The 25,054-nt window shown below is 49.9% G+C and overlaps 1 protein-coding gene and 1 non-coding gene across 17 annotated transcripts in view, besides 4 other annotated features; both read right to left on the reverse strand.

The window, feature by feature from the left end:
- Positions 258-327: a silencer, noted in NCBI's record as "silent region_4833". NCBI's record gives its function as "represses an Ori minimal core promoter by ATAC-STARR-seq in GM12878 lymphoblastoid cells {active_cell/tissue: GM12878}" and the evidence as "EXISTENCE:reporter gene assay evidence [ECO:0000049][PMID:35858748]".
- Positions 1,885-2,385: an enhancer, noted in NCBI's record as "H3K4me1 hESC enhancer chr12:109164153-109164653 (GRCh37/hg19 assembly coordinates)". NCBI's record gives its function as "activates a minimal SCP1, AML or CMV promoter by ChIP-STARR-seq in primed H9 embryonic stem cells {active_cell/tissue: H9 hESC(primed)}" and the evidence as "EXISTENCE:reporter gene assay evidence [ECO:0000049][PMID:30033119]".
- Positions 3,644-3,753: an enhancer, noted in NCBI's record as "active region_6978". NCBI's record gives its function as "activates an Ori minimal core promoter by ATAC-STARR-seq in GM12878 lymphoblastoid cells {active_cell/tissue: GM12878}" and the evidence as "EXISTENCE:reporter gene assay evidence [ECO:0000049][PMID:35858748]".
- Positions 9,652-9,779, reverse strand: LOC124900333 (small nucleolar RNA SNORA40). The gene has a single exon (XR_007063635.1). It is a non-coding gene; the product is annotated as a small nucleolar RNA SNORA40 (small nucleolar RNA).
- The window catches only part of SSH1 (slingshot protein phosphatase 1), a 79,393-nt gene continuing 64,037 nt past the window's right edge, over positions 9,699-25,054 (reverse strand). For 14 of the 16 annotated variants that reach the window (XM_047429022.1, XM_005268985.3, XM_047429023.1 and 11 more), the window contains 2 exons: positions 23,794-24,337; positions 9,699-20,752 (listed from right to left, as the gene is read on the reverse strand). In XM_047429022.1, coding sequence (XP_047284978.1) covers positions 19,496-20,752; positions 23,794-24,337 — 1,801 coding nt within the window. In that variant the 3' untranslated portion in view covers positions 9,699-19,495. Of the gene's footprint in view, positions 20,753-23,426; positions 24,338-25,054 lie in introns of those variants that run through there. The other 2 variants (NM_001161331.1, NM_001161330.2) reach the window with 2 other exon arrangements.
- Positions 23,672-24,172: an enhancer, noted in NCBI's record as "H3K4me1 hESC enhancer chr12:109185940-109186440 (GRCh37/hg19 assembly coordinates)". NCBI's record gives its function as "activates a minimal SCP1, AML or CMV promoter by ChIP-STARR-seq in naive H9 embryonic stem cells {active_cell/tissue: H9 hESC(naive)}" and the evidence as "EXISTENCE:reporter gene assay evidence [ECO:0000049][PMID:30033119]".

A 25,054-nucleotide genomic window follows, 5' to 3' on the forward strand; every position in this document is an offset into this window, starting at 1 on the left:
GCCCCCCGGGATAACTGTGCCTAGAATCTGTGGGTCCAATGGAGGGAAGAAAGCCCCCGAAAGGCGCTCACCTTTTCGGATGGGGTTTTCTGCCTTCTTCCTGTTGGACCTTGGGACTGGCCGGTCCCCTCTAGGGGAATCGGAGGCAGAGGCGCCTCCCGGAGTCCCCTGCGGGGCGCTCTGGAGCCTGTGCACCTGGAGGCCGGCAGACACTCCGGGCCTGCAGCGGGGACCCTCGGAGCTGGAGAGCTCCAGGAGGTGCAGGCAGCGCGCCACCTCCTCCAGACGGTACACGACGGGGCGTCGCGCCTCCAGGGCTAGGCCGGGCGGATGGAGGGGGTCCCCGGAGCCCGGGGGAAGTGGCGCAGTGGGCGTCTGCATCGGCCCGAAGGCACTTGCGCAGAGGTCCGGCAGGCAGCAGAGCACCTTGTGGGCGTGGTCGCTGGAGGCAGCGCCTGGCACCCCCATCTGGCACAGAGCGTCCCTGCCCTGCCCCCTGGGGCTGCGGAGGCCACCTCCACGCCCATTTGCCATCCCTGAGCCGCTTCTGCGACCTGTGGGGGTGGGGCGAGGGTGACTGGGCTTTCTCTTCCCCTTTCTTTGGAAGTTTCTATGACATCCCAAGCCCAAGAGCTGCTGGCATTGTGTCCTCCTCTCACCTGTCATCTGGGGGTCGGGGAGACAGACTGAACTCACCAAACCACAGAGCTCGCTGTGCACCCCTGAATGGGACACTATCTCTTCCTTCATTCAACAGACAGATCTGGGGCTGGGGTCAAGAGCCTCCCTCTTCCCATTGTGTGCTTAGGCAACTCTCTGAACCTCAGTTTTCTCATCTGTAAAATGGGAATGCTAAGAATAATACCATTTTAATAGTGTTTTCAGGATTAATAAGAAAACAACCAAAGTGTTTGGCATCCCGGAGGCCTGCAGCAAAGGGGCTGTTTCTGGTTTTGTTTTGTTTTGTTTTGAAACAGGGTCTCACTCTGTCACCCAGGTTGGAGTGCAGTGGAGCTGTGCAGCGGCGTGATCTCGGCTCACTGCAGTCTCTGCCTCCCAAGTTCAAGTGATTCTCCTGCCTCAGCTTCCTGAGTAGCTGGAATTATAGGTGTGCTGCATGCCCGGACATTTTTTGGATTTCTAGTAGAGAGGGGGTTTCACCATGTTGGCCAGGCTGGTCTCAAACTCCTGACCTCAAGTGATCCGCCTGCCTCGGCCTCCCAAAGTGCTGGGATTACAGGCGTGAGCCACAGCCCCCAGCTGGGGCTGTTTTTGTTGAACCCTTCCTCCACCCCTACCTTCCTGCCCCCTCAGCCCAAGGGAACCCCCTGCCTGGTCCACCCAGGAGCCCATCCCTGCTGAGCTTTGGGTTGAGCAGGGAGAATGGCTAAGGCCGAAGCTGGAACCAGCAAGAGACAGGCTCTGTGACCTTGGACAAGTAACTGCCTCTCTCTGGGCCTCAGTTTCCCCATCTGTAGAAGACAGGTGCTATACTGCAACAAGTCAGAGGGGCAGCAATGACCGGTACATTTATGGAGCACTTACTGTATGCTTCATGCTTCACCTGCTTCCTAACAACCTTATGAGGCCACCAGCCCCACGGTACAGGAAGCAAGGCTCAAAGAGGTGGAGCGAGGCGTCTACGGTCATACAGCTATAAGTAGGGTTGGTAGACTTGAACCCCAGCTCTCCTTTCTGAGTAGCATGTTCCCCTGGGGGCCTTGGGCTAACTTTGGAGGGGCTTCCACCTCCCCAGCCCTCCCTTCCTTCCAACCTCCATCGGGAGGCGCTCCCCTGGAGGAGCAGCTGCCGCTGGCCCCCACCAGGCTGGGCACAGAAGGCCAGGGCTGGGCATGTTCCCCTGGGGGCCTTGGGCTAACTTTGGAGGGGCTTCCACCTCCCCAGCCCTCCCTTCCTTCCAGCCTCCATCAGGAGGCGCTCCCCTGGAGGAGCAGCTGCCGCTGGCCCCCACCAGGCTGGGCACAGAAGGCCAGGGCTGGGCTGCTGCTCTGCCTCCAGCTAGCTGGGAGATGAGATGGACAAACACGGGAGAGTCGGCCTGTTGGGGGAGGGCATTCTGGAAACCTGCCCTGGCTCTCCGGGTCTGCACCCAATAGCCACAGAAATGGAGACTCAGTTCCTTCAGCAATCTGTGCCCCTACTATGTGCTTGGCACTGAGCAAGGTTCTGGGGTGGGGTGGAAAAAACGGGACACCTGTCTGTCCTCCAGGAGCTCACCCTAAGTCACAGAAGCCCGTGTTGATGGAGGATTTACTATGCGGACTGCCTCCTTTAGTTCTTACTACAGCCAAGTAATTGGTGCTAATATTATCCCCAAGTGAAGTATTTGGAAGACGAGGTCCAGAGAGGAAAAGTGATTTGTCCGAGGTCATACTACTCGGTCAGTGTTGGAGCTGAGGTTTGAACCCCAGACAGGCTGACTCCAGGGAGGACCTGAACTGTCTCTCTACAGGGCTGTTCATAGAGTACCTACTATGTGCCAGTCATTGTAGGTCCTCTCCAACCCTCCCACAGACTGTACCCCTATTTTGCAGAGAGGGAAACAGAGGCTCAGAGAGGTTAGGTAACTGGGCCAAGACTACACAGCCAGGAAGTGGCAGAGCAAAGATTCAAACTCAGACTTGCCTGATTCCCCAAACTTCTCAGGACCCAAGAGGAGAAAAGAGATCAGCCCTATCATTCGTTCAGTCAGTCAGTCAGTCATTCAACAAGTATTTATTGAGCACTTATTATATCAGGTATAGGGCAGACAGCAATCAACCTGACCCAGCCCCTGCCCTCAGGGAGCTCACAGTCCTGGGCATATCCATGGGGTGCTCATACTAAATAGTTATCTCTTCAGCATTTAGGGGAGGGGCTGTCAGGAATAGCTTCCTGGAAGAGGCAGCTCTGGAATTCTGTCTGGGCCATCTAGGTAAGACATTTAACTTCTGAGTTTTTTCATCTGAAAATTAGTAATAATAAGGCTCACTTGGTCCAGTGTGGCTCAAGAAATGTCATCCATGCCCGGTGCAGTGGCTCACATCTGTAAATCCTACCACTTTGGGAGGCCAAGGCAGATGGATCACTTGAGCCCAGAAGCTCAAGACCAGCCTGGGCAACATAGGGGACCCTCATCTCTATAAATAATAATACTAAAAATGAGCTGTGTGTGGTGGCACATGCCTGTGGTTCTAGTTACTCAGGAGGCTGAGGAGGGAGGATCGCTTGAGCCCAGGAGTTCAAGGCTGCAGTAAGCTGTGATCGTGCCACTGCACTCCAGCCTGGGTGACAGAGCAAAACCGTCTGTTAAAAAAGGAAATGGCTGGGCACAGTGGCTCACGCCTGTAATCCCAGCACTTTGGGAGGTTGAGGCAGGTGGATCACGAGGTGAAGAGTTCAAGACCAGCCTGACCAATATGGTGAAACTCTGTCTCTATTAAAAATACAAAAATTAGCCGGGTGTGGTGGCACGTGTCTGTAGTCCCAGCTATTCAGGAGGCTGAGGCAGGAGAATTGCTTGAACCCGGGAGGCGGAGGTTGCAGTGAGCAAAGATTGCACCACTGCACTCCACCGTGGGCGACAGAGCAAGACTCCATCTCAAAAAAAAAAGAAAAAATTCTGTCATTCATGATTACTGTTATAATCCCAGCGAGCCCCTACCACAGGGCACAGAAAGTGGGCAGGGAGAGAAGAGGGGTGATATCCCAAAGTCCATGCTTTGGGAGAGGACAGGTAGAGAGTTCCCAAGACCCTCAGAGCCCAGGAGTACAGGACAAACTAGTGAAAAGAATCCGCAGTGGCTTCAGACAGGGTGTCGCCTCTGTGGATCTGTGGCCAAAACTGTGACCTCAGCCAGGCCCCTGGGGCCTTCAGCAGGAATGAGGTCAGGGCTGTGGCTGGGGGAGAGAAAGGAGCAACAGGTGTTCAAGAACTAAGGACAGCTGCATAAAGGGTGGGGGAGGGGGGAGATTCTGAGCTTAGAGCTTTAGCATTGGTGTAACCTGAGTTCAAATCCAGGTAGGACACTCATCATGTGAACTTAGGCAGGTGATGTCACCTCTCCAAGCCTCACTTCCTCTTTTAGATATTGTGTTATTAATACCTGTATCACTAACTTGTCATAGAAAATCAGATCATCCTGACAATTACTTTATTGATTAATTGATTGATTGATTGAGACAGGGTCTCTCACTGTATCACCCAGGCTGGAGTGCAGTGGCACAATCATGGCTCATTGTGGCCTCAATGTCCTGGGCCCAAGTGATCCTCCCACCTGAGCCTCCTGAGTAGCTAGGACTACAGGTGCTCACCACCGCACCTGGCTAATTTTTGTATTTTTTGTAGAGACAGGGTTTCACCATGTTGCCCAGACCGGTCACGAACTTGTGAGCTCGAGCAATCCACCTGCCCGACCTCCCAAAGTGCTGGGATTACGGGTATGGTGTAGAGCACTTACCAGGGCCAGGGGCTGTTCTAAACACTTTCTACGTATATTTTGTTAATGAGAGGTATGTGGCACAGCAGCTGGCTCATGCCACATAAGCACAGCTGTTATCACTCCTCTGCATCATGTGATTTTGTTACAATCACTGTGTTTTACTAATCAGGAAAAACACCAGCAATAACAACAACAGGGAAAGCGAATTCCATTTTGGGAGCAGGATAGGGCCTTGGGCGATTCTGTGGGCCTGGCTGGGACCTAGATGAGGGCAAGAATTTCAGAGGGCCCAGTCCCTCTAGGGCTATGCACTTGAGGTCTTCTCTCAGGAACTTCAGGAAAAAAAGGCAGAATTAGAAACCTTTCCTAGGAAGAATTAGGAACTCTTGTCCTAGAAGTCCAACTTGCCTCCTAAATAGAGCATGTGTGTGTGTGTGTGTGTGTGTGTATGCATGTGTGTATGTATGCGTGCATGTATGCGTGTGTGTATGCGTATGCGCACGTGCATGTGTATGTGTGTGTATGTTTATGTGCACGTGCCTATGTGTGTATGCATGTATGTGCATGTGTGTATGTGTATGCACATGTGCATGTGTGTGTATGTGTACGTGTGTGTATGCGCACGTGCATGTCTGTGTGTATCTGTGTATGTGTATGCGCACGTGCATGTGTGTATCTGTGTATGTGTATGCGCACGTGCATGTGTGTATGCATGTGTATGCATGCGTGTGTGTATGCGCACGTGTGTGTGTGCATGTGTGTGTGTATGCGCACGTGCATGTGTGTATATGTGTGTATATGTATGCACACGTGTATGTGTGTATGCACATGTGTGTGTGTGTGTATGCGTGTGTTTGGTGGTATCGGGGCATTGTCCCAGATCACTGCCCAGCTCCTGGCCTTGCTCAGTCTTGCACGCTTTCCAGCCCAGCCCATCCAAGCCCTGCTGCCAACCGCCAGTCCCAGCTGTCTGTTGTGGCAGATGTTTTTGGCTGTGCCATAGCAACGCCAGAACAGGATGTAACTTGGATCACAGCAGGGACAAGCCCACGCGCACAGGCCGCCCATGCCTTTCCCCTCCCTGAAGGCCTGTTGGGAAAGACTGGTCAGGTCCAGGTCGAGGACAAATGGTGTTTGTTGTCTGGAGAGAGGCAGACCTCATGTCCTCTTGGGGTCAGTGGCAGGGGAGTGGGAGGACATAGTGCAAATCCTAGCTGAGCGCCTCCTTCAATGAGCTCAGGTTTGCATCCATTGGCTCTTCCAGGAGATGCTAAGGGAGTTGCCAGGTAGGACGAGAAACCACCTGTCAGCAAGGCCTGGCCTGTGGGGGCCGGCCTGTCTTCCCCACGATTATAGCAACTACTCATTGAGGGATTACTTTGTGCTACTTATGCTAAATACTTTCTATAAACAAAGAATATAAAGATTCAGGGGCATTTACTTTGTGTTAATTACACAGTGCTACCCTGTTTTTTTTAAGGAGCGAAGGTTTAATAGGCAAAAGAAAAAGAAAGAGAAAGGAAAACTGCTCTGTCTCTCTAGTGAGAGAGGGGAGACTTCTAAGAGGAAAAGAGCCACCAGCGGAGGATGCACTGGATTTTATAGTCAGGTTTGAGGAGGCGGTGTCTGATTTACATAGCGAACAAGATTACTTCCCTGAACTGTAAACTTCCCGCACATTGCATACACAGAGAGGATAGGAGATCCTTGCTCTGTCGCCCGGGCTGGAGTGCAGAGGCGTGATCTCAGCTCACTGCAGCCTCCACCTCCCGGGTTCAAGCAATTCTGTCTCAAACAAACAAAACGCAAAGTTGGAGATCCTGCTGCCAAAACCCCGTTGGGCAGTTGGAGGCCTGGGTCAGTCTAGAAGCCTTTGGATAACACCTGGGGTAGCCCCAGCCAGAAATCCTCAGTTGCTCCAAAACCTCTCCCAGCCCCACGTGACGGCTAAGTTCTCCATGAAAGGATGCTGGTTCAAACATGTCCAGCAAACCACGGGTGCTGGAGGATTCTCCATGTTCTCCCCAGTAAGACTGACGTCCGAGTCTTTAAGAATGGCAGCCACACTAACCGTGTTTTTAACTGGCTGATGGATACCCATTATTGATTTGACTTGGTTCTAAAATGGAGGCTGAGAGCCCTGAGATGAAAGGTCAGAGGTGGAGTCTGCTCCTCTACTCACCGTTTTGATGAAAGTTGTACCTTGGTATCCGGACAAGGTCCCCATTATGAAGCTGCTATGTTGTCTGGGGTAAATACCTGGGGTTCGTCATCTCGCACCAGGAAAATTTAGGACATGGACACACATGAAGAGTTTGGGAGCGGAGGTTTAATAGGCAAAAGAAAGAGAAAGGAAAACAGCTCTCTCTAGCGAGAGAGAGGGGACTTCGAGAGGGAAAGACCAACAGTGCTAGTCTTTATAATACTACTAGGAGGTTATTCCTGTTTTCCAAATGGGGAAACTGAGGTGGAGAGAGATTCAGTCACTTGTCCCAAGTAGCTGAATGTGTAAATTAAGGAGCTGCAATTGGGACCTAGGACTGTCTTGCTCCAAAACCCTTGATCGAATGGTAATGCTGCCAGGACTGGCTACATAATTTACTAGACCCAGTGCAAAACAAAAAGGCCACGCTCTTGTTTAAGAATGATGAGAAATTTCAAGATGGTGACAGCAGAACATGAAAACCAAGTGCAAGGTCTTCGCAAATTTATGCAACTGCCCTGAAGCCAGCCCTGGGCACTGTACTTCCATTGTCACAGCACGCAGTTCCCTTGCCACCCTCAGACACTCAGAAGGGTGGGCACAAGCAACCTAGAGCAGCTGACAGCCCAAGACAGTAAGCCCCTGCCTGGCACCCGAGAGCTACAGCGATCCAAAGGTACTCTGTTCCTGGGGACCAATGCAACCCCATCAAAGGGAGGGAAGGAAAGAGCCTTCCACAAAAATGCTCTACTGAGTTTCTAGAGCCACGGGCCTGGGAGCTTAGAGAGCAAATTTTAGCTCAATTTAAAAAAAAATTCTTTTATTAAATCTTTCCTTTTTTTTTTTTTTTCCCAAGATGGAGTCTTGCTCTATCACCCAGGCTGGAGTGCAGTGGAACAATCTCGGCTCACTGCAACCTCCACCTCCTGAGTTCAAGCAATTCTCCTGCCTCAGCCTCCTGAGTAGCCGGGATTACAGGTGCCTGCCCCCACACCTGGCTGATTTTTGTATTTTTAATAGAAGCGGGGTTTCATCATGTTGGCCAGGCTAGTCTCGAACTCCTGACCTCGTGATCCGCCCACCTCGGCCTCCCAAAGTGCTGGGATTATAGGCATGAGCCATCTCGCCCAGCCACATTTTTTATAAGCTTTTGTTTTGTTTTGTTTTTTGTTTGAGACGGAGTCTCGCTCTGTTGCCCAGACTGGAGTGCAGCAGCGCGATCTTGGCTCATTGCAAGCTCCGCCTCCCAGGTTCACGCCATTCTCCTGCCTCAGCCTCCCGAGTAGCTGGGACTACAGGCACCTGCCACCACGCCCAGATAATTTTTTGTATTTTTAGTAGAGACGGGGGTTTCACCGTGTTGGCCAGGATGGTCTCGATCTCCTGACCTCGTGATCCACCCGCCTCGGCCTCCTAAAGTGCTGGGATTACAGGCGTGAGCCACCGTGTCCAGCCACATTTTTTAAATTATAAAAGTAACATAATCCTGAGGCCGACACGGGCAGATCACTTGAGGTCAGGAGTTCGACACCAGCCTGGCCAACATGGTGAAACTCCATCTCTACTGAAAATACGAAAAGTTAGCCAGGCATGGTGGCATGTGCCTGTAGTCCCAGCTACTCGGGAAGCTAAGGCAGGCGAATCACTTGAGCTCAGGAGGCAGAGGTTGCAGTGAGCCAAGATTGGGCTACTGCACTACAGCCTGGGTGACAGAGAGAGACTCTGTCTAAAAAAAAAAAAAAAGCCGGATGTGGTGGCTCACACCTGTAATCCCAGCACTTTGAAAGCCCAAGGCAGGTGGATCACCTGAGGTCAGGAGTTTGAGACCAGCCTGGCCAACATGACAAAACCCCATCTCTACTAAAAATACAAAAATTAGCCAGGTGTGGTAGTGCATGCCTGTTATTCCAGCTACTCGGGAGGCTGAGGTAGGAGAATTGCTTGAACCCGGGAGGCGGAGGTTGCAGTGAGCCGAGATCACACCATTGCACTCCAGCCTGGGCAACAGAGCGAGACTCCATCTCAAAAAAAAGAAAAAAAAGTAACATAATTCTGTTGCAGAGATTTTGGAAGACAGACAAAAGAAGGAACAAAATAAGCCTTGAATCCTCCCTGTCTAAACCATTGCTGTTAGCAGGTGGTGAGTTTTCTTTCTTTCACAGAGGGCTTTCTGTCAGGATCCCCGGGATGACATAGACTGCCTCTTCTTTTCCTCAGTGCCTGGCCCACAGCAGGGGCTCCATGAACCAGAGAGGAATGCCAGAATGAGTGGATGTTATAAAGGGCTTGGCTTGGTTGACCTTTCAGATTCTTCTGGACTCTGAAAAACTCAGGATTCTTTGATTCACAGCAAATGCCTAGCATCGACCTGGGGTTCAGTCCCAATATGCCAGGCCCTTGCCAGTCTCAGAAGTGACTTGAGACATGGCCCCAGCCCCAGTGGAACTTGGTTTAGCCAGTCATGGGTGTCCCCAAACGTTCCAAGCTTTGGCAAATGAAGCAGGGGCTCCTTTTTAAAAAAGATCTTTATAAAAAATCAAGTCAACATGAAATTGGAATACGAAATTAATATAACTGAGGTTTTCCCTCAAATCCTATGCTTTTAAGCTAATGATTCTACAGTCCTAGAACCTTTTTTTTTGTTTTTTTTTTTTTTTTTAAGAGACAAGTTTTACTTTGTTGACTAGGCTGGAGTACAGTGGTGCCATCAAAGCTCACTGCAGTCTCCAACTCCTGGGCTCAAGCAATCCTCCTGCCTCAGCCTCCCCTTTAGAGTAGCTACATCTATAGGCACATGCCCCCACACCCAGCTAACTTTTAAAGTTTTGTGGAGATGGGGTGTTGCTTTCTTGCCCAGGCTGGTCTTGAACTCCTGGCTTCAAGCAATCCTCCCACCTCAGCCTCTCAAAGTGAGAGGACTGCAGGCATGAGCCACTGTGCCCAGCCTGCAACTAACACTTATGGTTATCAATACTCCCTCCCTTAGTTAACTGTCTTAGGTATCATAATAGCCTTTCTTATATGTATCAAAACTCATACTGAACAACAAGTTCTCAGTTGCAAAAGGAGATTTATTGTTTGCACCTGTCTATAAGTACTTGCCCACAAGTTAAACAAACGCACGCATAAGTCCACAGGGGCTCCTTTTCATGGCATATCTCATTTACTCCCTCACTCTCTCAGCATCTGTTGAGCATCTACTGCCCTCTAAGCATTGCACACATGCATTAGGGACTATTTTCCTTGGGGAGAAGATGGTGGGGTAGAAATTGCATGAATTTGGAGTCAGGCACTCCCAGCCTCTGCCCCTTCCTGGCTGTGTGTCCCTGACCCACGTTACCTAACCTCTCTGAGCATCCACTGCTTCCTCTGTAAAACAGAATCATATCTGCGGTGAGGATTAACTTGGTAATACATGTGAAACCCTTGCAACTAGGAATATATCCTCCAATTCCAACAATAACAACCACCATTTATTTATTAGGTAGTGTGCCAGGCAGAAGGGGATTTGCATGCATTATCAGTGAATTCACCAATGACCCCATGAAGTAGGTAGCATTGTCAGTTTGTTCTGATCCAATTTCAAGAGCAAGAGGGAGGTCTACCACCACCACCACCACCACCACCACAATGTACCATTTGTGGGATAATTTGTCTTTTTAAAATCTTTTATTTTTATTTGTTTTTGAGACACGGTCTTGCTCTGTTGCATAAGCTGGAGTGCAGTGGTTCGATCTCGGCTCACTGCAACCTCTGCCTCCCAGGCTCAGGAGATCCTTCACCTCAGCCACTCAAGTAGCTGGGACCACTGGCACACCACCATGCCTGGCTAATTTTTGTATTATTGGTAGAGATGGGGGTTCACCATGTTACCTGGGCTGGTCTTGAACTCCTGGGCTCAAGCAATCTGCCTGCCTCGGCCTCTCAAGGTGTTGGGATAACAGGCGTCAAGCCACCGTGCCCAAATTTGTCTTTTAGAGTCGGATGCTGGAGCATCCTCTCCTAGGCTGGGAGGTTGCTAATGTAAATGCCACACTGTATTTGCTGAAGTGGTTTACAAAAAAAAGGAATTTCAGGTTGAAAATGGACTCTTAACAAGGTACTTCAGGATGCACAATTTCCATTTAAAGGCAAAATATGGTGAATATGATCTACGGGAAAGAAACACACCTTGTGTCACCCCAATAGCCTTTGGAGCAAGAAGTGGGTCCAATTTCCCAGGGGCTGGGGGCTTCATCTCCAACTCATCTGCTTCCTTGCTGAAACCACAAGGGAGATCAAGATGCATCTTTGTCTGGCTTCTTTCTACTTCTGGGGTGGGAGAGACAGCTCTGGGAAGGGTTTCAGATGATGAGGGAGCAGTTCCTATCTGGCTTCATCAATTTTTAGATGTACCTGTAGGCAAATTACTTCCACTCTGTGGGCCTGTTTTTTCATAAACTGAGAATAATGCCAACAAGGCAGTTAATAGAAGGATCCCAAGGTAGTCCAAAGAGTTCAAGAAAGTTAGAAAAAGGACTCTCCTCTACCTTTTTTTTTCTTTTTTTTGTTTTTTGAGACAGAGTCTCACTCTGTCACCCAGGCTGGAGTGCAGTGGTGCAATCTTGGCTCACAGCAACCTCCACCTCCTGGGTTCAAGCGATTCTCCTGCCTCAGCCTCCCGAGTAGCTGGGATTACAGGCGCCCGCCATCATGCCCGGCTAATTTTTGTATTTTTAGTTGAGACGGCGTTTCACCATGTGAGCCAGGCTGGTCTTGAGCTTCTGACCTCAAGTGATCCACCTGCCTTGGCTTCCCAAAGTGCTGGGATTACAGGCGTGAGCCACCGTGCCCAACCCTCTCACCTCTTTTGAGATATGCATCACAGACCACAATGCCCAGTTTGGAGAATTCCAGGGGATTCTTTATGTAAAGCACATAGAAGGTATGTGATAAACATAACCTGGTTTTAGGAGGCAAGGATGCGTGGGTGGGTGGTGTTTCCTGGGTGGAGCTCTCCTTTAGAAAGGGCTTCTTTACCATAAAGTGAATCCCCCTAAGTTCCAAGCCGTCCTCTGTGCTGCCTTTGGAGCCTCTCCCGAACATCTTGCCAAGAGGGGGTTCCCCAGGCATAAACACAAACAAGCATGCGGATCCTCCCCAGCAAAACCACCTCCACTGTAGATGTGATCTGGGATCGTGCCCAACCGCGAGACAGTTACTCTGAGGAGGAAATCAGGGCAAAAGCAGCCCATTACAGGAATATTGTCCTAGGGCCTTGAACAAATAAGTATCGGATGAGTTTTATGAACACACATTGTTAGGGTAGTGTGGGTGTTGTCTCCAAAAAGCATGTGTGCAATGTAATTAGCAAAGCGTGAGCCTACTCAGTTGCATCATATTCTTATTTTGATGGTTTCTAAACTTGGCCATCAGAATTCCCAGGGAATCTCAGAAACATACAGATTGCTGGGGCCCATCCCACCCCATTCATGGCTGGAACCCAAAGAGAATTTGTTAGCTATCTTCAACCTTGCCAGAGAACAGTGTCTTGAACCATGACCCTCAGTGATTTGTTTTTAAAACATTTTACAGAGAGGGCTGCATTATAGCTTGATAACACTATTAGAAGCATCCTGTGGCTTGGCGCGGTGGCTCATGCCTATAATCCCAGCACTTTGGGAGGCCAAGGCGGGTGGATTACCTGAGGTTGGGAGTTTGAGAACAGCCTGACCAACATGGAGAAACCCCATTTCGATTAAAAATACAAAATTAGCCAGGCGTGGTGGCACATGCCTGTATTCCCAGCTACTCGGGAGGCTGAGGCAGGAAAATCACTTGAACCCAGGAGGCAGAGGTTGCGGTGAGCTGAGATCACACCATTGCACTCCAGTCTGGGCAACAAGAGCTAAACTCCATCTCAAAAGAAAAAAAAAAAAGAAGCATCCCACTAAACTTTTAATATTCAATAAGCAATTCTTAACCAAAATTTGGCACCCCATAGAGATTTACCTAGAAGGGGCTGGGCACAGTGGCTCATGCCTATAATCTCAACACTTTGGGAGGCTGAGGCAGGAGGATCATCAGAAACCAGGAGTTCAAGACCAGTCTGGGCAACATAGTGAGACCCTATCTTTTAAATAAATAAATAAATAAATTTAGCTGGGTGCAGCAGTGTGTGGCTCTGGTCCCAGCTACTTGGGAGGCTGAGGCAGGATTGCTGGAGCCCAGGAGATCAACACTTCAGTGAGCCATGACTGCCACTGCACTCCAGGCTGTCTCAAAAAAAGAAAGACTTACCTAGCAGGACTAAATGTGCTAATCAGCATGTGAGCAATCTGGTCTGCTTGATGATTATAATTCTTTTGGTAAAGTAATAAACTTGCATTCTGGTTTATTCATCAGTCTTTTGAGTCCAGTTGAGAGACAGAGCAAGTCCAGATGAACTGAACAAAATACTTCCTGGCTCTGCAGGCACTGGAATTTAGGGGTCACGCCCAGGTACTTGTGACAGTTAGTGCTCACCAAATACATGTGCCCCATACATTTCCCAGTCTCCCTGGCTGTTGCATTGGGACCCTGTGACTGGGCCCTGCCCACTGGAAAGCAAGTAGAAATGATGTATCGCATCCAGACAGAGGAGACTGAGTGAATGTGACTCCTCCCTGACTACACAGCAGAAAGCAAAGAACTCTAAGGAGGCAGAATTTTAAGATGGAAGTTGAGGTGGCTCACACCTGTAATCCCAGCACTTTGGGAGGCCAAGGTGGGAGGATCACTTGAAGACAGGAATTAAAGACCAGCCTGGGCAGCAAAGCGAGACTTCATGTCTATAATAAATTGTAAAAATTAGCGGGGCAAGGTGGTGCACGCCTGTAGTCCCAGCTACTGGGGAGGCTGAGGTGGGAGGATTGCTTGAGGCAGGAGGATCACTTTAGCCTAGGAAGTCGAGGTTGCAGTGAGCTATGATGGCACCACTGAACTCCAGCCTGAGCAAGAGAGCCAGACCCAGTCTCAAAAAAAAAAAAAAAAAAATTAAAAAAAAAAAAATGGAAGCAGCTCTGCCTCCTGAGTGTCCAAGGGAGAAGAGCCACCAAAAGCTGCCTGGGGTGAAGTGGACTGGGACATGAGCATGCACCTTGGAAACCAGCAGTACTTAGCCTCCAGGGTCCTCCCTCTCCCACCAGGGCTGGTGGGAGCAGGTTAGATGTTCTTTAGTGCACACCTCTGGCTTTACATTTCCTACTTGTACGGGAAGAGAACCCACCCAAAGTCCAAATCCTTTCCTGGTGGGTAACTTTTTTTTTTTGGTACACAAAGGACCACCCACAGGTGGGCCTGTTCTTGCTTACTGACAAAATTAGAAAGAAAACAGACTAGTTCCAGGAGGAACTATCATTTCTTCCTGTGGTCCTTTCTTTGGTGTAACTTGTCCAGGTTTTCTAGCAAAGAACTGAGCATGTAATAGATGCTCAATAAAGACTGGCCATGTCAATGACGATGATGATGACGATGTATCAGACTGTTTTGGCAAGGGCTGAGGAAGCAGTTTCCTTTTATATAAACTCAGTCATCAGGAATTTATAAAGAAAAAGTTTATTTTCATCACAAGAAGCACACACACTATATACAATACACACCAACAGAAGTAAAAAAAAAGTGCATTCTGCATCTTCTACTGCAAATTCACAGTACAAAAGATACTGCCTTTAAATATATTATTTAAAAAAACAAGAAGAAAAACAATAAAAAAAATCATCGATATCTTAACGCAATTCACGGGAACCCACTGGCAGCTTCTGGAAAACCAAACAACTCATGGTGTGGAGCTCCTGATTGGGGAAGGGACAGGGATTGGTCTGTACCTACATTTTGTTGCAAAAGAGCTCAGGACACTAACAGAGAGGAAAACTAGGGTGGTCTAGGTGGTAATAAAATCTCTATGAAAGAAGAGTATGATTGTGTGACTGGGGAATGGGCAGGTGCTGGACTCTGGTGCAGAGGCTGCCTGGCCTGCGCCACCCCACGGCTGGCTAGCAGACCAAGCTACGTTCTTTCATTGGCTCCTATGGGACACAGCATGGGCCAATGCCTGCCTGGCCTGCAGGAACCGCCAGTGTTGTTTCTAGCAAGGCTCCTTGGAATAGATGTGAACACACAATGTAAAACTGCATAGCAGGATAAACACGTATGGAGTAGGACAAGCTCACAACCCAATGCTGACCACTACTGACAAGACCAAGTATCCAATCATAACAGATGAGACTTTAACAGTTTTGCATAAATACATAGTATTTGTAAACTATTATTAAGGCACTCAATTGTAAAACAATAATTACAGTGTAGGAAAAGAGGGAGGAAGCAGCTATCTTCTCATGCAGCAAGGCCGACAGGAAGGACAGTGGAGGACTGGTGATCTGCTTATCGGGACTCCTGTCTGAGACAGTGACTGAAGCCGGGGCCCCAGCACCTATGGCCAAACAAGAAGACGGCAGTCTCTCCAGAACCACCCAGGGCGGCACTGGTCACAGTTTCATTCCAGATCGTTAAGGTGATTTGCTCTGTGGCTCAGGTGACACAGTGTGTCTGGATGCACATGATCACTTGACTCGGTTTCTATACTCAAATATACAGATGCAGAGTGAACTCAAACACACAGGCATTCCACTGCAGAGCAGATGATAACAAAACAAGTGGCTGGGGACAGGGGTCATTCAACAACCTTCATTTGGTTTGCAATGTCTGCAGGAATCTGGGTAGTGGGACCAAGACAAGTGAGCCTGCTCTGTGCTAGCCAGGTGTCACCAAGTTTCTGATCTACCCAGCTCTCTTGCCAGAGGTGAAGGGGGTCCCCTCGCTGAGTTGCGTGTTTAGAGGAGCCCTGCTAGGTGGCCAGCCAATGAGAAGAGTTTTGGGCAAAATGTATTCTGGCACCAACAATTTCCCACCAATGGAAGGCAACTCCCTCTCCAGATGCCTCAGGTGAGATGACTTAATAGGATCTTGACTAAATTATGTAGCATTTGTTCCCACTAGAGAGAAAAGGTCCCCAGGAGAGTGGTAGGGAAATTCATCAACCTTCTAGAATGGACTGCCCTCAGATAAGAGTGCATTAGTCCAGGGCCGTGCTGAGGGTCTGTTCTGTTCAAGCTCAGCTCCACACTGCTGCAAACTCTGGACTTCTCCAGGGGAAAAGGGCTTTAGATTACTGGAATGCTCTTTAGCTGAAGAGGACAGGGTGGAGCAGAATGGGCTTGGACAGTACAGCTGTCTGTGTGCACCTGGTGAGCAATCTGTATGCTTAAGCAACAGGGTGCCAAGGAGAAGGGCTTGCCACCCAGCAGAGAGCTATTCAACAGCCCAGAGGTTGGCTGGGGTCCCTGCATGGAGAGCAAGGAAGCAGGGAATGTAAAGAGAAATAAACTCTGCTCTTAGGAAATACATGCAACCAGGGACCTTGCTAGAAGGCTCGGAAGTAGCCGTAAGACAAAGAAATGGAAATCGGCATTGTCAATTACCATCCGAGAGCAGCCCCGGTTCTCCTCTTCCCGTGACCACTATCCCCCTTATACTTAGCAAGACTTAAAGAGAAGACTTTCCTGTATCAATGCAAGGTGAAGATGTAGAAAAGTTCAGTCTAACTTTTGGCATGCCACATGAATTAATGTGAGGCAGAAGATAAGATTCAGCTGTTTTTTATAAAGAGTATCAAGCTGATTTAGAAAATGTTCCTTTTGTCCCAATTCAACAAATGCATTCAATGAAAATGATAGTCATAAAAAACCAGTGACTTGCACAGCACAGACCCCTGCCTCCTCTGCCTGCCTCTTTCCTGTGCCACTTATGTTTGGAATTTTCCCCATCAGCTAAGGTTGCATACAAAGCAAGGGCCAAGCTATGGCATATGTTACAGTGCAAACTTCCTTTTCACAGACAGCATGAATTCGTCTTTGCCCAGGTGTCCCGACACCTGACAGAATGCTCATCTTGTTCATACAGCATTTTATTTTTTTGAGACGGAGTTTCACTCCCAGTTTCATTGCACCCAGGCTGGAGTGCAGTGGCGCGATCTCGGCTCATTGCAACCTCCGCCACCCAGGTTCAAGCGATTCTCCTGCCTCAGCCTCCTAAGTAGCTAGGATTACAGGCACGCACTACCACACCCAGCTAAGTTTTTGTATTTTTAGTAGAGACGGGGTTTCACCATGTTGGCCAGGCTGGTCTAGAACTCCTGACCTCAGATGATCCGCCTGCCTCGGCCTCCCAAAGTGCTAGGATTACAGGCGTGAGCCACCGCGCCCGGCCCCATCATACAGCATTTTAAATAGCCATGTGCCATCTGTTTACATGCAACTGATCTGGGTTTCCAAAAATAAACCTTACCCTTTTCTCCAGGCCAGGCTATTAAGCATCAAGTCCAGAATGCTTCACTCTGCTCTGTGGACGGGACCAGCGCTCTCGTCTGGATGTTGATATGCTAGCTGTGCTTCCAAAAATGAATGGGTAAGTTTGCCAGAAGCCAAAGACCAACTTGTACTCTCCAGATTCCACACCCCACCCCCCAACTCTTTAGATAAGAAAAATTATGGCTTTCAAAATTAAAGTTTTCAAAAATATATCATTCTCATACATAGACGTGGTTAAAAAACCAACAAAAGCCTGTCATCACTAAATTTAAAAGATTATTTTGACACAAAAATTGATCTACCACATGAAATTTGATTTGGCAAAACATACCGAACTTGATATTTTTTGAGGCTATGCTTTTGTTGGCTGAGGGAAAGGGGGAACAACCCACAGGGGTTTAGGAATAAGTGGATAATCACCTTTTAAGGTGATTTTAATTGACACTAGTGGGAAAACAGCTCCCTATAAAGTAATGTATGTATTTTTAAAAATCACTCCAAGGAGACAAAGTCCTGGAGGGAGGATTTTTGCAAAAACTGTGCTCACTAGGTAAAATATGAACTAGCCTTGTTCCTGCAGATCCCTCCTGGGGTGCTTTCTAGAATAGCTTTGGGGAACACAGTTCTGGCCAATGTTAAGATGATGGCTCACTCACTCACTTTCAGAATTCAGCTGGTCCTTGAAGGCTTTCTGGTTTCACTGAGTTAATCTGGCGGACCCAGCTGAGGGCAAGATGGAATTGTGGAAGAGCTTCAGCCAACTGTGTTCACCTGCCTTCCCCCATGTACGCAACCTACTCCATCCTGCACAGGTGAGGCTAGTGCGGGGCTGGCAAAGCTTGTGGTCGGGAGGAGGGAAGGGTCTGGCCTTAGGTGTCAGAGAGGCAGAGGGCTTCACATTTACCCAGTTTCTTCCTACAGGGCCATGAGCAGCCCTGTGTGGCAAATCAAACCAGGGGTCAGCAACTTTTTCTACAAAGGGCCTGACAGTAAGTACCTCAGGCTTTGTGGGCCACATGAATTCTGTCACATATTATTTCTTTTTTTTACAACTCCTTAAAAAGGTAAAAGCCATCGCTTGAGCCAGGGAGGTTGATGCTGCAGTGAGTCATGATTGCACTACTGTACTCCAGCCTAGGTGACAGAGCCAGGCCCTGTCTTAAAGAGGAAAAACCATTCCTAGCTCACGGGGCCACATGCCATAGTTTGCTGACCCCTGAATTCAACCTTTCTGCTTTTCTGCAAGCTGCCTCTCTCTCGAAATGTTTTGACATCTAGCTTGCTGACACCTTTGATTCAAGCCTGGCGCAGCGGGACTGGCTGAGCTCACCTGAGTCTTAAAGGGGCCGCCCACAGAGCCAGGCAGCGACTACAGATCCCTCTTATACTCCCTCACTGCTGCTGGGAAGAGCTGGAGGGAAACAGGAAGCAGTAATCTCACTGCAGGAAGGGGCAACTGTAGACATCCGGGAAGCATCCCGACAGTCCCGTTCCTTTCGGGGAAGCCGCTGAAATCTCCTTTCCCTTCCCTAGATGGGCCCTAGTGGACCTAAGCATCTGGGCTCTCAGCAGGACGATGTGTCTCAGAACCACCACCTGAGCCAGACACTTGAGCAATTTCAAACCTAAACACAATCATGTGTTTCAGCAGCAGACACTCAACAATGCAGGTGGGCCCTTCCCCTTGAGATTTAAACTTCAGCATTAGCAACAACTGAGAACAACCCATACATTTTCCCCACCGGACCCCTGTGCTGGTCAAACACGTAACAACACAACCAGGACAGGGCGCCTGCACCACCATTCGGGCACAGAGTCAGCTCAACAACAGCGTGGGACTACTCATCTGATGACTTTACTCAGCAGTGCTTGGGGCTGTCGGGTTAAAAGTCTTGACACGTCTGGGGTCCCAACCAAAACACAAAACGAAAAATTCTTTTTTTGGAAAAACGCTTTCAGACAGAGCATTATTCCCTGGAACAAGCCTTGGTCATTCGTGTGTTTTAAAAATAAAAAGCGCAGCGAGAACAGAGGTAGGACTTAATGTTGCCATCCGAGAGTTTTCTGCGAGGCCAAGAATGAGCTAGAACGTGTGCCGCGGTGAGGCTGCCACCACCAGGACTCTTCTGCAGGATGCGAAGGGAACAGTCTGGATGTGTGCGCCTATGTGTGCACGTTCTTCCTAAAACATGGTTCTTCTTGAAGACACGGTGGGAGCGGAGTTTTGTGTCTCCTGGCCGGCGGCTCCTGGTTCTCCCAGGCCACACGACTGACAGCTCCCCTTCTTGTGCTGCATGTTGGTTAGTTTCTTCTCCTCCTCTCTATGGCAAGAGTAGGGGAAAAGTTAGGATGACTTCACTCGTTTAAGGGAAATCAAGATGTAAGGGGTCGATCCAAATCCACAGTGAAAGTGAGGGAGGGATCATATGAAAATATCCGCCCAGCCTGACGCAGCAAAAGGCGGGTCAGCTTTTGCTCATCCACGAAGGGCTCTTTAAGTTTTCTGGGGCGGGTTTCCCTGATGGTTTGGAGGTTGCAGCTGGGTCCCTCGGGGTTCCCTGGGGCTCATGCAAGAAGGAAGATTCACTCAAAGTGGTGTCCTGGGAGTCAGCGACGGTGGACGGGTCAGCCTCACTGGACAGGTCTTCCGTTGAGAAGGTGAGACTCCCCAGCTTGGCAAGAGAGTGTGAGCGCTTCAGTGGGGAAGAGACGGTGAGGCCCGCCAGCCGGAGCCGGGTCTCAATCTCCTGTGTCCGCTGCTTCACCAGCCCGGGCTTCCCACGGACACTGTGGATGCTATCGCTGCTGGAGCTCCGGGTCAGGTTGGAGCTCATGGAAGAGGAGGTGGGGGTGTAGCAGATGGTCTTCAGAAAGTCTTTTGAGAAACTACTGGTGTGGTCCAGGCGGTAGAAGAAAGGAGGGGGGCTCTTCAGTGAGCCTCCTTCCAATGAAGCGGGGGCGGCCTCTGACTTCTCATCACTCCCGGCCTGGCTGGGCATAACCAGGGGGCCCAGCTCGTGGAGCGCGGCTGGATCCTGGCTCTCCTCGGGGATGCTGGCCTCCAGCCTGCTGGCAGGGCCATCCCTGGAGGGAGGTGCTGGGTCTGCAGGCACGCTCTTCAGCCGCTCTAGCTCTTTGGTGTGCTTGCGGACCAAGCCTGCCTTCTGCAGCTGAATGATGGACTCCTGGTGCTGCATCAGGTAGCTGTTGGTTGTCGGCTTCTCAGATTCATTACTGAACAGAAGCCTCAGGTCCTTGGCTGGCTTCATATCTTTCTTGGGTGACGATTCTTCCTTTATTACCACTTCTGTGCTGGGAGGGTTCTTATCACAGTGAGAATTCTTCAAAAGGAGGGACTTTGGCAGGACTTTTGGGGTCTCTCTGGAAGGTTCCAAAAGGCTGGCTGGTGGCTCTAGGGCAGCTCCAGCCCCAGGGCCACTGGTGTCTGCCCTCCTGGAGCCTGCTGGTGGTAGGAACGGGGGAGGTTCGGTTGGGCCAGAGGCTGGCTTCTCCGGAACACGGGACCTGCTGGCCAAGTGGGCCACAGGGGAGGACGTGATGTGGGGTAGGAAGGCTGGCTGGGTGCAGATGGCGGGAGCATTGGGGTCCTCACATCGCTCCCTGGAGGCCTCAGGAGCCCCGCTGGCTGTAGGGTACATGCAGTCGGCACAGGATTTATAGGAAGGCTTCACTTTGTTAAGGATCCCAAATATAGCATCATCCTGCAAGGAAGGGGACAAGAGCATGGTGAGACGGTGCAGTCATGAGCCAAAGACCAAAAACATGAGGGTGGGCAGGGAAAGGGGTGCGAGGCCGGACTGGGGGCCAGGCCTGGAGGGGAGGCTCTCATTTCACTTAATACTGACAGACAGACCTCCTGGAGCCCACTTGATCGAGAATAACCACTGGCCTGAGGTGGATTTTATACCCCAATAGAAAACAAGTTTACATTGTTTCCTAAGGAAACCCTCCTGCCTTTTGGTCAGTGAGGATCTAAGTGAACGTGACACATGCCTCTGTGTCCCCACCCTTCACTTCCTTACAGGCCAACTGACAGGTACCCAGTGGTCCTGGGAATGGACTAGAAAGCTGTGTGAAGAGTCCCAGGGGAGAGAGGGACAAGTTCTAAGTCTCCGCGGAGGGAAGGCTTCCCAGAGGAACTGACACTTCAGCTGAGGCTTCTGGGACAAGCAGGTGTTGACCAGCCAGAGAGAGCAGCATGCAGGTCCAGAAGCAAAGCAGGAAGGAGGAGGGCACCCCCCTACCCCACCCCGCCTGCACAGGACTGTAGGCTGGAGGGCAGGACAAGGCAGGAGGGCAACAGGGCTCTGTCTCTCTCTCTTTCAAACAGATAAGAGACAAGGTCCTACTATGTTGCCCAGGCTGGTCTCGAACTCCTGGGCTCAAGTGTTCCTCCTGCCTCGGCCTCCCAAAGTGCTAGGATTACAGGTGTGAGCGACTACACCCCGCCAGCTCTGTCTCTCAACACCTCCTTATGTCCTTGCCCCATCCTCTGAGCCACTGTGATCCCAGCATCCCAACTTCCCCTCTTACCCCAGCAGCCTGCCTGTAGACCACAGCCAGAGGGGGCTCATCACCCACCTGCTTAAAGGCCCCGCCATGGCTTCCAGTTTTTTTTTTTTTTTAAATGAAGTTTCGCTCTTGTTGCCCAGGGTGGAGTGCAATTGCGTGATCTTGTCTCACTGCAACCTCTGCCTCCCAGGTTCAAGCAATTCTCCTGCCTCAGCCTCCTGAGTAGCTGGGATTACAGGCATGCACCACCACAGCCAGCTAATTTAATATTTTTAGTAGAGATGTGGTTTCACCATGTTGGTCAGACTGGTCTCAAACTCCTGACCTCAGATGATCTGCCCGCCTCAGCCTCTCAAAGTGCTGGGATTACAGGCGTGCGGCACCATGCCCAGCTAATTTTGTATTTTTAGTAGAGACAGGGTTTCACCATGTTGGTCATGCTGGTCTCAAACTCCTGACCTCAGATGATCTGCCTGCCTTGGCCTCCAAAAGTGCTGGGATTATAAGCGTGAGCCACTGCACCTGGCCCAGGGTTTTATCTCATCTGTCTTTATGGGTATTTGCTTTGTGGTAGGCAGGGAAGTGGGGGAAATCCATAATTAGTATTTGATTTGGAATGCTTTATGGAGGTCGACAGATGCAACTGCCCAGTTTTGTTTGCATTATAACATGCTGTTAATAATAATAAACTGGCTGTATACTTGAATGCATCTGTCAGGACCCCAAGTGCCCCCACTTGAGAACCACGGCTGTCCTGTGAGATGGGCAGGTGAAGCCAGAGGCAACAAAGTCAGCAGCAGGGCAAGGGTGGAAGTGGAGACCAGGCTGCACGGCCACCCTTCCACTGAACCAGCCTCTGCTCCTGCATCACTTCCCCCATGGAGGAGGGAAAAGGTTGGCTGGAATTAACCAATTTCTCAGTAAGCACCAGGTTGAAGCTCAAACCTTGTGGCAGATAATCCACTAAAAATGGCAACTCCAAGAGACTAATGGAGTTAAGTATTAGAGTCTAAGTTGGAAGGCTGGATACTTGACAACGTTGGGAAATTACTATCAGTTTTGTTTTTGTTTTTAGACGGAGTCTCGCTCTGTCACCCAGGCTGGAGTGCAGTGGCACGAACTTGACTCACTGCAACCTCTGCCTCCTGGGTTCAAGCAATTCTCGTGCCTCAGCCTCCTGAGTAGCTGGGATTACAGGCATGCACCATCACACCCAGCTAATTTTTATATTTTTAGTAGAGACAGGGTTTCACCATGTTGGTCAGGATAGTTTCCATCTCCTGACCTCCTGATCTGCCTGCCTCGGCTTCCCAAAATGCTGGGATTACAGATGTGAGCTACCGCGTCTGGCCCTATCAGTTTTTTTAAAAGGTGACAATGGTATTGTGGCTATGTTAACATACTGGAGCATTTATGAATAAAATGATATATCTGAGGCCAAGCGTGGTGACTCAAACCTGTAATTCCAGCACTTTGGGAAGCCAAGGTGGGCAGATGGCTTGAGACCAGGCTGGGCAACAGTAAGACCTCATCTCTACAAAAAAATAGAAAAGATTAACCGGGTGTGGTAGCATGCGCCTGTGGTCCCAGCTACTCAGGAGGCTGAGGTAGGAGGATCACTTGAGCCTGGGAGGTCAAGGCTGCAGTGAACCGTGATCATGCCACTGTACTCCAGCATGGGAAACAGTGAGAACTTGTCTATAGTATGTATCTATCTATATCTACAGTATATACCTATAATATATATTTTTTAGATACAGGTATCTATATCTAAATCTGGGATTGGTTCCAGGATCATCAGGGGTGTGGGGAAGTGGGTGGTAGGGGTGAGATGAAAAAGAATAGTCATATATCGATAAAGGCTGAAGTTGGCTGATAAATTATATGTTTTAATTTTACATACACAAAAAGAAATTGAGTTGGAAGCCCTGCCCAGGGTATGAATAAGGTACATGGGGTGAAGATGGTGTGCAGAGATATGTGTTATTCCCAACAGATTCTCAATTTGCTATATAAGGTATGCACTACGTACCCACCAGCAGAATCACCCTGTGAAAGAACCCTCAGGTCCCTGGAGATGGGAGCTGGGGGCCCAGAGGAGACAATAGAAAAAAATCAGCTGGGTGTGGTGGCGGGTGCCTGTAGTCCCTACTACAGAGGCTGAGGTAGGCCAATTAGAGTGGGATGGAAGGGATGGGGTGTGCCACCCTGCAGGCCGGGCTCTGCCTACCTCCATGCCGTTGGGACAGCTCCTCTTGCTGTTGTTGTTTAGGTTCTCCGAGTTGAGCAGGTTTTGATCGAGCTGGGTTGGAAGCTGCCCCCACCTCCCTGCTCCCAGGCCCTCCTCCCTTTCCGTCTCCTCCACCTGCAGCAAGGAGCCGCTCCGACCTTTGGGACTCCCAAACTCTAGTTTCTTCTTCACATCCTTCTCACAGAGTCCGGAACCTTGCTGGGGCTGTCTGGCCGGCCTGTGCACCTCTGCAGGTGGAGCAGCTTCCTCCAACAGAGCCTCCCTCTCCGGATCCTCCAGGTGGACCAAGCTGCCAGTTTCATCCTCAGGGGAAGGCAGAAGGGGGTCTGAGAGTCGCCGGAAACAGCAGGGGAGGGGGGGCCCTAAGCCGGGCTGGGCGGCATCATCCAAGAAGGGCAGCTGGCTTTCCGGGGTGCCATCTGGGGTCTCTGGCAAGAAGTCGCCAGGTCCTGCAGGGTCATCCACAGGCTGCTGGAGGCTGCTGTCTGTCTGCTGACGCCACAGCTTGTTGTGCCGCTGTTTGCTGCGGGGAGAGAGGGTAGAGGAAGGTGAGGGGAGGAGGATGGTGCCTGGGGGTGCTGGGAAGAGTATGCGGTGAGCCAGTGAGGGGCTGCCCAAGGTCAGGGCGCCAGGGACGATCCATGGCTCATTCAGGTAAAGCCTCTCTCTGTTCATTTGTTCCCAAGAAACACAAGGATGAGAAACAGCACTGGCTCCTAAGTTGTCCAGGCTCGCACAGGAAGCCTGATGTGACTTTCTGCCTCTGATGACAACGGGGAAGGAACGCGGGGGCGTCTAGACTTCAATCTGTGTATCTGTGTTTAGTGATGCCTCATTGTCACGTCAGTTACACTCCATCTCTCATTTCTCTGTCAAATAAGAATAACAACGCTCTCCTACCTATATTGTAGGGAAATGAAGGGAATCAAAGTGGAGTATGTACAGATCTATACACGATAATACAACTATACACACACATAACGCACTGCAATGCATTTGGGAAGATCCTGGAAAACTAGAAAGTATTTGTTTAGGTTTAGGTCAGTTTTTAAACAATTTCTTCTACTATGATGACATTGTTTTTATAATCCCTTTTTTTTTTTTTTTTGAGATGAGGGTCTCACTCTGTGGTCCAGGCAGTGCAGTGGTGTGATCACGGTTCACAGCAGCCTCAAACTCCTGGGCTCAAGCAGTCCTCCCACTTCACCCTCCCAAGTGGGGCTACAGGCATGTGACACCA

The sequence above is a fragment of the Homo sapiens genome, chromosome 12 (assembly GCF_000001405.40).
Source record: "Homo sapiens chromosome 12, GRCh38.p14 Primary Assembly".
In the NCBI taxonomy this organism is placed as follows: Eukaryota; Metazoa; Chordata; class Mammalia; order Primates; family Hominidae; genus Homo; species Homo sapiens.